This window comes from Homo sapiens, chromosome 11 (assembly GCF_000001405.40).
Source record: "Homo sapiens chromosome 11, GRCh38.p14 Primary Assembly".
NCBI classification, from domain to species: Eukaryota; Metazoa; Chordata; class Mammalia; order Primates; family Hominidae; genus Homo; species Homo sapiens.
Window position 1 is genome coordinate 94,286,150 of NC_000011.10, and position 17,380 is coordinate 94,303,529.

Consider the following 17,380-nt stretch of genomic DNA (forward strand, 5'->3'; position numbering starts at 1 on the left):
AGGCTGGAGTGCAGTGGCACAATCTTGGCTCACTGCAACCTCTGCCTCCCAGGTTCAAGTGATTCTCCTGCCTCCGCCATGTCTTTTTTTTTTTTTATAAGGGCACTACTCCTATTCATGAGGGCTCCACCCTCATGACCTAAATACTTTCTAAAGGCACCACATCCAAATACCATCACACTGGGGATTTAGGCTTCAGCATATGAATTTGGGGGAACACGAAGGTTCATTCCATAGCAGAGACTAACCTGATATATTTAATCTCATGTTGAAAAATCCAGGGAAAGATCTCACTGGCCTAGCCTGGGTCAGGCATTATCCCTATAAACCAAAAAATTATGCCAGTGGGAGGGTCTTGAAAGGATACAGCAGCCCCTCCATATAAAGGAAGTTGAGAGAGAATCAGACCCCTGAATAAGGGGATTACCAACTCCCAAAGCAGGGGAACATGTGGACAGGTAAAGCAACAGGCATTAATCACAGGGTGAGGATAGAGACTGAGAGTGAAAAAAAAGAAGGCCCACTGCTAGTCCCTGCTCCTGCTTCACAGACTGAGAAACCAATGCCCGTGAAGACAGATTATTCAAAGAGGGGACTTCCGGATTTTCACCAAGGGAGGATATATATAAATGAATCATACCAGAGTATTAAGAATTTCATTCAAACACAAACCAATAATAATAGCATGCATTAAGAGAGGATAGGGGAAAAAGTAAGCCCTTTCTTATTTTCTGTTATCTGAATGGCAAGATGAAGTGAAGTTCCTTCAAAAAAGTGGTCCTCTAAATGTTCATGAACCTAAGAATCACCTGGGGGAGCATGTTAAAAGATGAAGATTCTTGGGCTGATTTCTCATCAGAAACCATGGAGGCCAGGAGGCAATGGGATGACATATTTAAAGTGCTGAAAGGAAGAATATTACTGGGGTCTGCCCCAGGTCTGTTGAATCAGAATCTGAGGGATAGAGCACATAAATCTTTATTTTAACAAATGTCTCAGGTGATTCTGCTGCAGGAGTTCTTTAAATAAACTCTAGAGAAACTACTCCAGAAAGAAATCTCTCCTCTCCTGAAAGTTGGCTGGCTTTCTCTATTCAGTGCCAGAACTTGATACTTTGATACCTTTGTGACCAAGGTGCATTAAAACAAAATAAAGAATCAAAAGATAGAAAGAACACTAGATGATAGATAGACATACAGATAGATAAAGAAATAAATAGGTAAAATAAAACCTATGAAAGTCTATAATTTTTAAAAATAAGTCACAGAAGTGAACAATTTACAAAGTAACAACAACAAAAATAACAAGATCTCACTCTGTCACCCAGGCCCCATCTCAAAATGACAAAACAAAAACAAAACAACAAGAGCTAATATAATGCTTATGATATGTCAGGTGCTATTCTGGGCACTGTTTATGAGCTGACTTTTCATCTCAAAGCCATATTATGAGGTAGGTCCAAGAAGGAACTACTAATTCAAGCATAAAAAAATTATTTAAATTTTCTACGTTTTCAATATTGTATCAGCAAAGATTTTAAAATACTAGTGCTCACTGCCTGGGGAGTTTTGATGTTGTCATTCTTAAACAATGCTGATAGGAATATAAATTATTTCCTAACACATAAAGAATTTTTAAAAAGTTGACTTGACAATATCACTTCTAGAAATCCTCAAAATCCAGACAAATCTATCTTGTAAGCAAATATTTGCATACAAGAATGGTTATCATGGTTTTACTTACAATAAAAAACTGGAAAGAACTAAATGGTCAACTCTAGGTAAATGATTGAATACATTATGGTATATTTATATGTAACATTAAAAATAACATTGAAAAATACACACAATCAAAACAGGATGAAAATATGAACATGGCCTAAAATTAAGAGCTTCTTACAATGTACCCCAAGGTAATTCAGGAAACCATAGAATCTAGGTTCAAAAAGAATTTAGTGAAGAGACATCACTAAAAATGGTGGAGTAAGGACAATGACCCCCAAGATGATTCATTAACTCTTCTTATGGACTCTAAGGACCTTTCCATGGACCCCCAAGGTGATTCATGAAATTATAGAATCCAGGTTCAAAAACACTGGAGGATAGATGTCACCAAAAATGGTGGAATAGGGAGCCCTAAGGACCTGTTCCTCCACTGAAGCAAATGTTAAGCTAGTGAAAGCTGTTAAACTATTTTGGAATGTGAGAATCTAATAAGAAAAAACTTACAACAACCAGGAGAGTGCTTAATAAAGAGGAGACTTCTAAATTTCAGTAAGAAATTGTGTGGCATTTTTGCTTATCCACCTATCACCCCCTATACCCTAGCTTGGTGGTGGCCAATAGGAATGGTGGCCATGTTCCTGGTGGTTTAGTTGCTAGTGCCAGAAAGATCAGTACAGACCTTGTTATCAATAAATTGTGGTTGTGCATGCATTTTAACCTTTTTGGCAGTTCCTCGAGAGGCTGGCTTAGAGAACTGCCTTTGTTTTTACCCCACTTTGAATTCTCTCATGACTGGAGGCCTCCTGGACAGCATTTGTCAAAAGCACATAAGGACATTATACAATGGACAGCCACCTGGAGAAAGAGGTGGAGAATGGGACAAGCAGCAGACAGACCAAAAATCCTGGGAATGAGGAGCCTGAGGATCAAGATAAATGGGGAAATTAGGACTTTGAAGGACTCCTGAATATATCAGGGAATCCAGACAGCCATGTGCATGCTCCGAATAAATGTTCAGAAAGATCTGGGATGATTCGGTGCTTGCATCTCTGGCTGATCTTTCGGCCCTGCAGAAGCAGGAGGATAAGGGTTAAGACAGAGTTGTTGGTGGTTTGGCTAAGCATTGAATGCTCCAGCTCAAAAATAATCTGCAAAGACTGCAGATGCCACTAAGTATTTTTCATTTTATTTTTGGTTCCAAGCATTTAAGTAAGTGTCTCTCAGGTGACTGGCTAACTGCTAAGACATAACAGTGACCATACATAAGAAGAAATACAATCTTTGCCAAATTCTTTGGAAAAGTTACTAAACAAATGGATGGCTGCAGCCCAAAACAAACAACAGTAGCCAATTATTGGAAAGGGAGATAATCTGACTTCCAGAGTTACAAACATGCAAAAAATTATGAACATGCAAAGAAACAGAAAAGTATGACCCATTCACGGGAAGAACAAGAAAGAGACATTGACAGAAGCTTTCCCTGAGGAAGCTCAGACATTGAACTTAGCAGGTAAACACTTTAAGTCAACTGTCTTAAAGATGCTCAGATAACTGGGGGAAACTATGAAAAAGAACTAAAGAAAACCAGGAAAATGATGTCTCAACAGAGAATATCAATAGACAGAAAGTATAAGAAGAAACCAAATAGAAATTCTGGAGGTGAAAAGTATAATAGCTACTTTTGTCAAATTCACTAGAGGAGTTCAACAGAAAATTTGAGCATGCAGAACAAACACGCAGTAACTTGAGGAATGGTTCATTAAAATTATCCAGTCTGAGCAAGAGGGAAAGTTCAAAGACAAAGGAGAGAGAATCATGATTAAGTTTAGCTGGATGGGTCAATTGGCTTTATACAGGAAGATGGCCACGTTTTCCATTGCATCAGAAAGTAAGTGGGAAAAGAATGCTAAGTAGAGATAGATGATAACACCGTAATAAGCCTACAAATTAGGGAAGGGTGAAAAATAAAATAATTCGAAGACAAAAAAAATTATCCAGTCTGAGTAGAGAAAAGAAAAAATAATAAAGAAAAGTAGTCCTAGCCAAAGCAATCAGACAATAAATAAAGGGCATCCAAATCAGTAAGAAGAAGTCAAACTGTCGCTGTTCACCAAAGACATGATTGTATACCTAGAAAACCCTAAAGACTCATCCGTAAAGCTCCTAGTTCTGATAAATGAATTCAGTAACGTGTGAGGTTACAAAATCAATGTACACAAAAGAGTAGCACTGCTGTACACCAACAATGACCAAGCTGAGAATTAAATCAAGAACTCGATCCCTTTTAAAACAGCTACCAAAAATAAATAAATAAATAAGAAAAGAAAGAAAGAAAGGAAAAACACCTAGGAATATATGTAACCAAGGAAGAAAAAGATCTCTACAAGGAAAACTCCAAAACACTGCTGAAAGAAATTATCGATGACACAAACAAATGGAAACACATCCCATGCTCATGGGTGAGTAGAATCAATATTGTGAAAATGGCCATACTGCCAAAAGAAATCTGCAAATTCAATGCAATTCCCATCAAAGTATCATTATCATTCTTTGCAGAACTAGAAAAAACAATCCTAAAGTTCATATGGAACCAAAAAACAGCCTGCATAGCCAAAGCAAGACTAAGAAAAAGAAAAAATCTGGAGACATCACATTACCCAGCTTCAAATTATACTACAAGGTTATAGTTACCCAAACAGCATAATACTGGTATAAAAATCAGGACATAGACTGGTGGGACAGAATAGAGAACCCAGAAATAAAGCCAAATACTTACAGCCAACTGATCTTTGACAAAGCAAACAAAAACATAAAGTGGGGGAAAGACACTTTATTCAATAAATGGTGCTGAGATAATTGACAAGCCACATGTAGCAGAATGAAACTGGATCCTCATCTCTCACCTTACACAAAAATCAACTCAAGATGGATCAAAGACTTAAATCTAAGACCTAAAACCATATAAATTCTAGAACACAACATCAGAAAAACTCTTCTAGACATTAGCTTAGGTAAAGAGTTCATGGCCAAGAACTCAAAAGCAAATGCAACAAAAACAAAGATAAATAAATGGGACCTAATTAAGCTAAAAAGCTTTTGCACAGCAAAAGAAATAATCAGCAGAGTAAACAGGCAACCCATGGAGTGGGAGAAAAATCTTCACAAACTATGCATCAAACAAAGGACTAATATCTAGAATCTACAAGGAACTCAAATCAGCAAGAAAAAAAAATCCCATCAAAAAGTGGGCAAAGACATGAATAAACAATTCTCAAAAGAAGACGTACGAATGGCCAATAAAAATATGAAAAAATGTTCAACATCACTAATTATCAGGGAAATGCAAGTCAAAACCACAATGACGTTACTCCTGCAAGAACGGCCATAATTAAAATATCAAAAAATAACATATGTTTGCATGGATGTGGTGAAAAGAGAACACTTTTACACTGCTGGTGAGAATGTAAACTAGTACAACCACTATGGAAAACAGTATGGAGATTCCTTAAAGAACAAAAAATAGAGCTACCATTTGATCCGCAATCCCACTACTGGGTATCTACCCAGAGGAAAAGAAGTCATTATATGAAAAAGACACTTGCACATGCATGTTTATAATAGCACAATTCACAATTGCAAATATATGGAACCAGCCTAAATGCCCATCAACCAATGAGTGATGAGTGGATAAATAAAATGTCATATATATCATATACATACCGTGGAATACTACTCAGTCATAAAAAAGAAATGAAATAATGGCATTCACAGCAACCTGGATGGAATTGGAGACCATTATTCTAAGTGAAGCAACTCAGGAATGGAAAAGCAAATATTGTATATTCTCACTTATAAATGGGAGCTAAGCTGTGAGGACGCAAAGGCATAAGAATGATATAAAGCACTTTGGGGACTCAGCGGGGGAGGATGGGAGGGCAGTGAGGGATAAAAGACTATACATTGGGTACAGTGTACACTGCTTGGGTGATGGGTACACCAAAATCTCAGAAATCATCACTAAAAAACTTATCCATGCAATCAAAAACCACTTGTTATCCAAAAACTGAAATAAAATTAAAAAATAAACTATATTTTTTTAAAGAAAAAGGAACAGAGTCTAAGGGAACTGTGGGACACCATCGAGCATACCAAGAAGCATCCCAGGAGGAGAGAAGAGAGAAAAAGAGGCAAAAAAGCTATTTGAAGAAATCATGGCTAAAATGGCTTGAATTTGATGAAATACATGTATCTATATATCCAAGAAATTCAACAAACTCTAAGTAGAATAAACTCAAAGACATCTACACTGAGGCACAATGATAATTAAACTGTCAAGAAAAAAAAGACTAAGACAATTTTGAAAGTGGCAGGAGAGAAACATCTCGTCATATACAAGCAATCATCAATAAGTTTAACAGCTCATTTCTCATCAGAAACCATGAAAGCCAAAAGGCAATGGGGTGACATAGTTTAAAGCCTGTAAATTAAGAATTATATGTTTATAAAAATATTCTTTAAAAATCAAAATGAAATTCAAAAAGAAAAAAAAAAAAGACCAGGTGTGGTGGCTCACGCCTGTAATCCCAGCATTTTGGGAAGCTGAAGTGGGTGGATCACCTGAGGTCAGGAGTTCAAGACCAACCTGACCAACATGGCAAAAACCCGTCTCTACTAAAAATACAAAAATTAGCCAGGTGCAGTGGTGGGCACCTGTAAACCCAGCTACTCGAGAGGCTGAGACATGAGAATAGCTTGAACCCAGGAGGCGGAGGTTGCAGTGACCCAAGATTGTGCCATTGCACTCCAGCCTGGGCAACAGAGCGAGACTCCATCTCAAAAAAAAACAAAACAAAACAACAAAAAAAAACTAAACTAAAATGAAATTAAGACATTCTCAGATAAAAACTGAGAAAGTTTATTGCTAGCAGTCCTGCCCTACAAGAAATGCTAAAAGCAGTCTTTCAGGATGAAATGAACAGACATTACACAGTAATTCAAAACAATATGAAGAAATAACACCAGTAAAGGTAACAACATAAGTGAATATTAATATAGAAACCAGGGTTATTGTATTTTTGGTTTGTAACTCATCTTTCTTTTCCTATATTATTTAAAATATAAGTGCAAAAAACACTAATTATAAATTTCTGCTAATTGGCACACAATGTATAAAGACGAAACTGTTAACAACAGCAATGTAAAGAGGGAGGGCAGCTATACAGGAGCAGAGATTTCTATGCTGTTGAAGTTAGTTGCTATCAACTCAAAGAAATTTAGGATGTTAATTATAATCTCCAGGGTAACCACTAAGAAAATAACTAAGAAACATACAGAAAAGGAAATGAGGTGGGAATCAAAATGGCACACAAGAAAAAAACAAGAAAATAATCTAGAGGTCCTCTGGCTCATTTTGCCAACAGGTGCAAGAATTGGCTTTCAGTGGAATATGATACATAGCCTGTGGGCAAAATGAGACTCCTCTGAACAGAAATTCAGCCCACATAAGATTTTTAGCAAAAATATAATATAAATAAACATGAAGCATTATCTAGGTAATAAGCATGACCTAGCAGTTCAACATGTTCTGAGAACCTGCCTACAGTTGCTCCTGTGAAATTGAGGCCTGGTGCTACATAGCAAGCCAAAATTTTTCTAAGTCTGCTTGGCAGAAGTCTCATGCCATGACGTTAATGGGTATAACACACAAAAGTGCTGCTGTAGCCAAATATGTTTGAAATGCTGGGTTAAATGGAGTTTAAGAAAGGTCTTGGCTGGATGCGGTGACTCACGTCTGTAATACCAGAACTTTGGGAGGCCGAGGCGGGTGGATCACCTGAGGTCAGGAGTTCCAGACCAGCCTGGCCAACATAGTGAAACCCTGTCTCTACTAAAAATACAAAAATTAGCCAGGCGTGGTGGCATGTGCCTGTAGTCCCAGCTACTCACTCGGGAGACTGAGGCAGGAGAAGCACTTGAACCCGGGAGGCGGAGATTGCATTGAGCCGAGATCATGCCGCTGTACTCCAGCCTGGCAGACAGAGCAAGACTCTGTCTTAAAAAAAAAATTAAAAAAAAAAAAGTCTTTACTGCAGTACTTATTGGAATCTGTAACACATTGTGCATGTACACTTTGAGTCCTCAGGAGGTAGTGATAACACGAATGTTTCCCAAACATTTTCATCGTGGAAAGAATCTGTTATTTTTGAGACTGGAACTTCAGGGAACATTCTTTAGAGAATGGTGCATAGCAAAGTTAAGCAAAAAAATAGAGGTATTCTAAACCCCCGTTTCTTCATGACCATAGTTGGGGTGGTGGCATTTAGGGTTGCTGTGTGATAACCTGAGTGACACACTTGGCCCAGTGGCTGCCACATGGCAGGTGTTTAAACTTTGCAGAGTTTATTAGACTTAATTGCCTATGAAACACTCAATAGACTTTTATTTTCTGTTTAATATAGAATAGGGGGAACACAGACTTGAAGCCAGATAGATTGGGCCTCAAATTCTTGTTTCATTGCTCGCCACCGATTACAGACTTTAACAAGAGTTACAAAATACCTTCCTAGCAACACCTAGATTACCATTTTGTTGAGAATAGGGGGCAATAGCCTAGATAATTTCATACATAACGACCACATGAATCCACCCTTTGACAACCTGGCACCCATACACATCTTCTTAAGCCATATTTAATATCCAAATAAAGACAACAAAGTGATACTTCCCCCTAACATGACACAGCTATCCTGTGTGCAAACAGAAACATGCTAATCCTTTCCCCAGAACAGAATGCAGATTCTTGGGTGATATTCACTCTTTTCCTTTCATATCTTGTAGCTTAAATACAAAGAGTAGACCACATATGACAGTGATGACAGTGGCCCCATAAGATCATAATACTGTATTTTTACTATACCTTTTGTATGTTTAGATATGTTTAGATGCAAAAATGCTTATCATTGTGTTACAATTGCCTACAGTATTCAGTACAGTAACATGCTGTATAGGTTTGTAGCCTGAAAACAATAGGCTATACTACTATATTTAGCCTAGGTGTATGGTAGACTATACCCTCTAGGTTTGTGTAAGTACACTCTATGATGTTTGCATGATGTCAAAGTTGTCTAACAACACATTTCTCAGAATATATTCCTGTTATTAAGCAACACATGACTGTACTGTGATATAAAGTTAACTATTGGCCAGGCATGGTGGCTCACACCTGTAATCCCAGCACTTCGGAAGGCTGAGGTGGGAGGATCACTTAAGCCTGGCAGTTTGAGACCAGTCCGGGCAAAATAGTGAGACTCATCTCTGCAAAAAAAAAAAAAAAATTAGCCAAGTGTGGTGGTGCATGCCTGTAGTCCTAGCCACTTGGAAGGCTGAGGTGGGAGGATCACTTAAGCCCAGGAGTTTGAGGCTGCAGTGAGCCATGATCATGCCACTTCACTCCAGCTTGGGCAACAAAGTGAGACTCTGTCTCAAAATAAATAAATAAAGTCAACTATTACTAATATATCTTCTGTTCTGTGAAAGAGGTAAGACTGAACAACTTATTTAACTTCTCTGAGGTGATCTTTAAAATGGGTTTAAAACACCTACACAGGATTGTTTGCTCATTCCTTCATTCAGCAGTCATTCATACCAATCAATGTCAACTGTGTTGTATACACAAAGACATTCATATATGATACAATCTTTGCCCTTGATTAGCAGACAGACAGTGAGATGAGATGTCTCAAGAATTTGATACGGGACCTGGAACAGAGCCAGTGCTTGAGAAATCTTAGTTGCCTTCCCCTTATTCATGGAATGGGTAAGGCACAGCTCTGAGAACAACCATCCTCATATCCTAGGTTTCTTCACTTCACCCAAAGAGACCATTTATCCTTCAGTAGAAATAATCCCAGAACACTTCCTCCAGATTCAAAGAAAACACCATGCCAAGGGATTTGGCAGATAAAGGAGGAGATAAAGGCTTTCCACATTTCTATGAATGAATGCAATGCTTTGTCTTTAAGGAAAATACAGCAAGAGGCCTCAATGTTTCCTCTTAAGCCCCAGTTTGCATGGCAACCAGACATTCCACACACTTTGATCATAAAACGGAAGCATCAACTCAAATGTGAAAAGACACTTAGCAACTTAAAATCTATTATAGTTTCATAAATTGGAGTCTTTGAATATTCCCAACTATTAACATTTTTCAGAGATTTAAGTCTTAAATAAACTTAAAGCAATTCAAGAGCTTCACATAATGGTACATCTCACTGGTCTATAATAAAGGTATCTGAAGAATCACAAAATTTACTTTTCTAGAAATGGCAACTGCTTAATGATTGTATTGCAAGGCAATTTACCCACAGCCTCCTGGAAAATTGATTTTCCTCTCTCTGTCTTTTCATTTGTAAGCACAAGGGCATAAAGAGCCAAATATTTGCCACCTTGAAACTATATACTTTCCATTATTTTCTGTCTATAAAAACTATAAAATACATTGCGGACCTTCCAGCTCTTCTGCGAGATTTCTCAGATATTTTCAATGTAAGACAAAGACTAAAACAAATCCAAAAAGATGCATATTTGTTTTCTCTAGGCTATGAAGTATAACCCAACTGATTCCGTTCTTCAAACTTGAAATTGTGTACTTGACTAAGAAAAAAACAAAAAACAATTCACCAACTGCATTTGCCAAGCCTCATGGTTTATAGAGCTGTGGGGAGTCAGGAAGATGAGCCCAGCAAGACACAGGACATCTAGTGATAAGAGAGGTGAATAAAGAGAAGAAAAACAATCATTTTCTACAAAGTAGAAATTGAAACGCCTGCAAATCACATATGTACATGACCATCTAAATATGACCATACACAGAAACTCAGATTTCCAAGAATTTTTCCTGGTATGCTTCTTGGCAAAAATGAATCATAGGAGAAATCTTTTTTTTTTTTAACCAAAAAACAATCCCTTGTTCATTTAACAAATACCTACTGAGTGCCTATCATGTACCCAGAACTGTGGTTATAGGTGTAAGACTGACAGACACAGTCTCTACTGGTCTAGGAGCTTACAGCCGCCCAGTGGGGAACACATGAGTCAGCAGGCATCTCTGGAATAGTGTGGCAAGTGACATGATGGAGGTAACCCAAAAGCTATGAGAGAGAGTACCTGGAAGGACACCTAACCCAGATTTGGGCTTCCTTGGATATAGATATCTTCAAATTGAGGTCTAGAAAATAACAAGTTAGCTAAAGGAAGATACTACATGTTTTGAGGATGACGGGGGAGGTCCCATGTGAAATGGAACAGCATGTACAAAAGCCTGGAGCAACAGTGATCATAGAGAGTTCAAAGTATTGAAGATAGTTCCGTTTAGCTGGACTTTCCCACACTAGGAAGGATAGGATTGTGGATACAATTCTAATGCTGCCACCAACACTGGCTTACATCCTTGGAAAGTGAAGGGGAGAGATGGGGGGAGGACACAGCCACACTGAGAGTCATGCTTTGGGCAGCCTTGCCTGCAGGGGGCCACTGAACCATACGTATTATACCCATGTAAAATTGTCCCAGTCTAAAAGAACATATGTAGGGGTGTTTCAAGGTCCTTTGAGAGGAGCTACTGATAAGTTTGCACCTATTCAAATACTTATCTTTTTAAGCATACTAGGTTGGCAGGAGGGGCATCCACTGAAAATTGGACTGTGAGGAAAGAGCATGGCCTGTGGAGTCAGAAACACTGAGTTCTACCCCAGGTTCAGGCCCTGTGGGTTGTCACACCTGACACATCCCATTCACTCACTCACTCATTCATGTGTTCAAATATTGAGAGGCCCTTCTATGTACCATAAACTGGCAGGAGCAGGTGACAGAAGGTGATATGGTTCGGCTGTGTCCCCACCCAAAATCTCATCTTGAATTATAATCCCCATAATCCCTATGTGTCAAAGGCAGGGCCAGGTGGAGGTAATTAGATCATGGGAGTGGTTTCACCCATGCTGTTCTCATGGTAGTGAGTCTCACAAGACCTGATGGTTTTATACGCGTCTGGCATTTCCCTTGCTTGCACTCACTTGGTCCTGAAACCCTATGAAGAAGATGCCTGCTTCTCCTTTGCTTTCCACCATGATTGTAAGTTTCCTGAGGCTTCCCCAGCCATGCGGAATTGTGAGTCAATTAAACCTCTTTCCTTTATAAATTACCCAGTCTCAGGTATTTCTTCATAGCAGTGTGAGAACAGACTAATACAGAAGGATAAAGCAAAGTCCTCACTCTTAAGGAACTCAAGAGTCTAAGGAGGGAGGGGCAAGCAAATATGCAGAAGATTGCATCACCCTGTATTAAATACGATGCTGAAAAGAAGCATTGAATGCCATGAGAGTCCACAGAGGAAGGGGCAAAAGCAGGCTGTCTTGTGATGAAGGTGCCTGAGCAGAGCCCGAGATGATGAGCAGCCTGGCGGAGAAGCAGGGAAAGGTCATCCCCAGCAGATGGAGCTGCAGATGAAAAGGAACAGAGCAGTGGTGGCTCATTCAGAGAGCAGGGAGTAGCTCAGTGTGGCTGGCCTGAAGGGTGAGGATGGGATGGGGGGTGAGAAGTTTCTGTTGTAACCCATGTCAGATGATGAAGAGCCTCGAATGACCATGTTAAAGTATTTGCATGAGGTGGCAGAGGAAGAGGGGTCCAGGATAGCTCCAGGCAGGGTGACTGGAGGGAAGGGGTGCCATTAGCCAGCATAGAAAAGCAGATTGAATGAGGAGCTAAAACAGGTAAGTGTAAGGTGCCTGTGAGAAATTCAAGTGCAATACCATTGGAAGTATGTAGATATGTAATTCTACAGGTCGGGACTGTATAGAGATTTAAGAGTACCCACATATAGATGATCACTAAAGCCATGTTGGGGGTGAGATTGCCCAGAGAGAGAGTGTGTACCGTAAGAAGAGAAGAGGTCCAACCAAGAACAGAGCCCCAGAAAGCACTTAAAGGGCAGAAGGCGGAAATGGAACCTATCAAAGGGACCAACAAGGAACTAGTTGAGACGCAGGAGGAAAGTCCTGAGAATCAAGAAGACATGACTTTCAAGAAGGCCAGGGGGATTGAGTACTTTGGTCAAAGGCAGCTGAAGGGTCAGGTAGGATACAGATGGACCTTACCCACTGGATTGGATAATTTAGAAGTTGCTGCTGAATATGGCCAGAGTGGATTCCAGGGAACGGTGGTGGAGCCAGGCAGCAGGGAGGGATAATGAGCATAAGGAGACACAGAGGAGCCACCATGAACATACACAGGTTTTATACAAAACATGGCTAGGAAGAAAAGACAGTTTGGTAGCTGACGTGGAACTTAGGGTCAAAGGACAGTTCCAGGACGGGACGTTGGGTGGATTGAAAATATATGAAGAGGCCGGGTGTGGTGGCTCACACCTGTAATCCCAGCACTTTGGGAGGCCAAGGCAGGTGGATCACTTGAGGTCGGGAGTCCGAGACCAGCCTGGCCAACATGGTGAAACCCCGTCTCTACTAAAAATACAAAAATTAGCCAGGCTTGGTGGCACGTGCCTGTAATCCCAGCTACTGGGGAGGCTGAGGCAGGAGAATTGCTTGAACCCAGGAGGCGGAGGTTGCAGTGAGCTGAGATTGCGCCATTGCACTCTAGTCTGGGTGACAAAGCAAGACTCCGTCTCAAAAAAAAAGAAGAAAAGAAAGAAAATGTATGGAGAACAGTGCAAATTGTAAAACTGCATGCAAACCTTAGTTACTAGTTAATAATGCTCTCTGATATACCCAGCAGCAGCCTGGTTTGAATGTGACAATGTGACATAAGTGTAATGGTGAGCAAGGGAGCCATCAGCCCGAGAAGGAAAATATGGAGAGTAAAGACATTTGTTCTTTCTCCCCTGTCTGTAATTTTCAGTTAATTCCTTGTCCATAGAACACTGGTGTTTTGCTCTCTGTTCTCCCCTTCCTTGGACTCTCTTCAACAGTTGATGAGCTTCACATTCATTTCCCTTGTGGTGATTAGACCTAAAAAGTGGCCTTCTTCAAGTGGCAATGAGAGGCCCCAGCATTAACGCTCTGAAATATCACGGAAATTATCAGAAAATGAAGAGGCTCTGGTTGGAAAATCTGGGAGTGAGGAAGAAAACTGAGAGAGGAAAGGCAGGGAGGGGAGGGGTGGGAGAAAAGGCTGAGAGGAGAGGTCACTATAAACTAAAAGGAGGAAGAATAGAGGAGGGAAGGAAAAGAAAGAGGGGATAGGAAGGAAGAGAGGAGAGGGGAGGGAGGGAGAGGAGAGAGAGAAGGGAAGAGATGGGAAGAAGGATGGGGAGAGGGAGAAAGGAGAGGTCACCTTAAGTTGGAGAGAAAAGGATAGGTGAGCACATGATAAAGGAGAAGAGAGAGAGGAAAGGAAGGAAGGCAGGAGAAAGGGAGAGATGGGATAGGTCAGGTTAAACTAGGGAGGTGTCTGAATTAGTATTCCAGGAAGAGATGCTGGGTGGATTGAAAATGTATCAAGAACAATTGCATATTGTAAAACTGCATACAAACCTCAGTTATGAGCTATTACACTCAGCAGCAGGAAAGAAGAGAGGCAGAAAAGAGAGATGGGATACGTCAGGTTAAACTAGAGAAGGGTCTGAGTTAAAACTATGTTTTTAAGAAATGCAGTTTGGGCCAGGCATGGTGGCTCACACCTGTAATCCCGGCACTTTGGGAAGCCGAGGCAGGTGGATCACTGGAGATCAGGAGTTTGAGACTAGCCTGGCCAACATGGTGAAACCCCATCTCTACTAAAAATACAAAAAGTTAGCTGGGCATGGTGGTGTGCACCTGTAATCCCAGCTACTCGGGAGGGAGGCTGAGGTGGGAGAATCGCTGGAACCCGGGAGGCAGAGGTTGCAGTGAGCCGAGATTGTGTTACTGCATTCCAGCCTAGGCGACAGAGTGAGAGTCTGTCTCAAAAAAAAAAAAGAAAGAAAGAAAAGAAAAGAAATGCAGTTTTATTCTACTCGGGTATTTCTCCTCATTGCAGACAACAAATTGCAGAGTATGCACTCTGGGCCAGGGACTGTGTTTGACCCTGTGACTATTACTGTCTTTCTGGAGCTGCTTACAGAAGAGGCAATGTCGAGCCTGTCTGCAGGCATTCATTTCCAAGGGCAGGAGGTATGTGCAATGACTGCAGCAGCATAAGCTCCAAGAGACATCTCACCAGCCCATGACGGCCATACAAGCTTCCCTGACAGGAAGCCTTCAGTTCTGAGAGCTGAGGGGTATGTATCCCTAGACACAGAGGCTGGGCTATGACAGAACAGCCCTGGAAGTGGGGCCCCTGCAAGCGGCAGGACAATGACAGGCCGTCAGGCCTCAGGAGTGCCCAGAGCATCAATGAGAGCAAGTACAACAGATTAAGATCTAAAAGTAAATAAAAACCACATTTAAAAGGGCTGGTGTGCCATGTTAAGGACCTGGGACTTACCTTAAGGTCTAGAAAGGTTTTAAACATGGGAGCATCATAATTGTCTTTACATTTTTAAAAGATCATTCTGAAAAACAAAGACTGCAAACAAATGTTGAACCCTAGTTAATGATATGCATGTTTGAATTACTTAGGAAGACATCAGTTTACTGATATCTGCAATTTACTTTGAAATACATAAAAAATAATAAGACTGATACCTGAATAGAGAGAAGGATGGTTGGCTAAATATATAATAAAGAAAATATAATAAAATGGTAATGGTGAAATCTAAGTGGTGGGCATATGAGAGAGAGTTCACTATAAAATTATCTCAACTTTATGTTTGAAAACTTTCATAATTAAAATACTGATAAAAGAAACGAAATAATTATATGAAAAATATACCTGCATTCTTATGTTTATTACAGCACTATTCACAATAGTAAAGATTTGGAATCAACCTAAGTGTTCATTAACAGATGAATGGATAAAGTAAATGTGGTAAAATATATACAATGATACACTATTCATCCATATAAAAGAATGAAATCGTATCTTTTGCAGTAACATGGATGGAACTGAAGCCACTATCTTAAGTAAAACAACTCAAACAAAAAGTCAAATACTGCATTTTCTCACTTAAAAGTGGAAGCTAAATAATGTGTACACATGGACATAGAGCATGGAATAATAGATGTTGGAGACTCAGAAGGGCGGGAGGGGGTGAGGTATAAGAAATTACATAATGAGTACAATGTACAAAGCACAGACTTCACCACTGTGCAATATATCCATGTAACCAAACTGCACTTATACCCTTAAATTTATACAAATTTAAAAAAATTCTGAGAAATTAGATCATTATGGCTGCTACTTGATTAAAGCTCTGGAAAAGGGTGGGAGAGCTAGTTAGGAGGTTGTTGCAGTAACTGAGGCAAGAGCCGATCATGGTCCAGACAGTAAGTAAGGGATGTGAATTCAAGAGATATTTAGAAAGTTAAATCAACAGCTTCGGCGATTGGATAGACATAGAGTGAAGAATAAATTAATATCCCTATTTACCTCCCTAGACAGAAACCAATTAAGAGTTTACATGAGGATGGTCAATCAGGTTTGGGGTGAGAAGAATTCATGAGACCCAGTAAGAACTCTGAATCACTGAAGTCCCCTTCGGCTGGCCTCTGACATCAGATTCTCACCAGGAGACTCCTGGCTCTAGCTCTTCACTTTCGTAGTCTGTTCTCAAATTCAGTGGGGGAGTGACCTCAGGATGGGAGAGGGGAAGGAAGTCATCACTGCCCAGCATCTCCAGTGGCCCCAAACCAGAGCCAAGGCTGGGTTGCTTCACCTACTGCCCTGCCCTCCTTGTCCTCCCTCAGAGCCCGCTGAAGGCTGCTGTACCTCTTCTTTTGGAAACGCAAGTGTTGGTTTTGTTGTGTGTGTGTGTGTTTTAGAATAAAAATTGTCTTGAATCAGCCACTTCAAATTGCTTCATCTACAGTCAGCTTTGACTTATCTGCTTTCAGTCAGAAAACAGATTGCTATGGAAGGCTCAGTCACAATAAGGCAAAAATGAGCTTTGCTCAAGGGTCTCAAGCTGCATCTCCCGAGAGCAGATGCTGGCCGGCCTGATGGTTCTCTGAAAGGCAGCCTCACTCACTGGGTAATTCCTTCCTCCCTCCCTCCCTCCCTCCCTCCACCTGCATATGCGCTGGCTGCAATTTTAGCTCATTTCCTACAGCTTTGTCCTGGAGACTGTTATCAAGCAAGCCGCCCTTCGTCCTTCTTCACACCCTATGAAGGACAGTTGTCAGAGGACCTATTTCCATTTCAATAATTACTCTTGTGATTCATGTCTGGATTCTCGGCTCTGGCACCTCCACAGCCATTTTAAACTGAACCTTAAACCCCAAATCTCTTACCTTATCAATGCTTGGAGCTTCCTGAATATTCATGAGGAACTGAACAGAACATGACAGCCTGCTTCTCCCTCTGTCAGGCTATAGAGATGCTATTACCATTTGGTATCTGACCCTAAGGAGGAGACTCCAGGCTCTGCTTAACGTGGGGACATGGGAGACTGGGTTAATAACTGTCACTGTTCTAGAATAAAGCCAACACACGCCTCCCAATACATGCACAACCTCATTATGGCATTTAACGTTAAAAAAAAAAAAAAAGCAGACCTCACTTGAGAC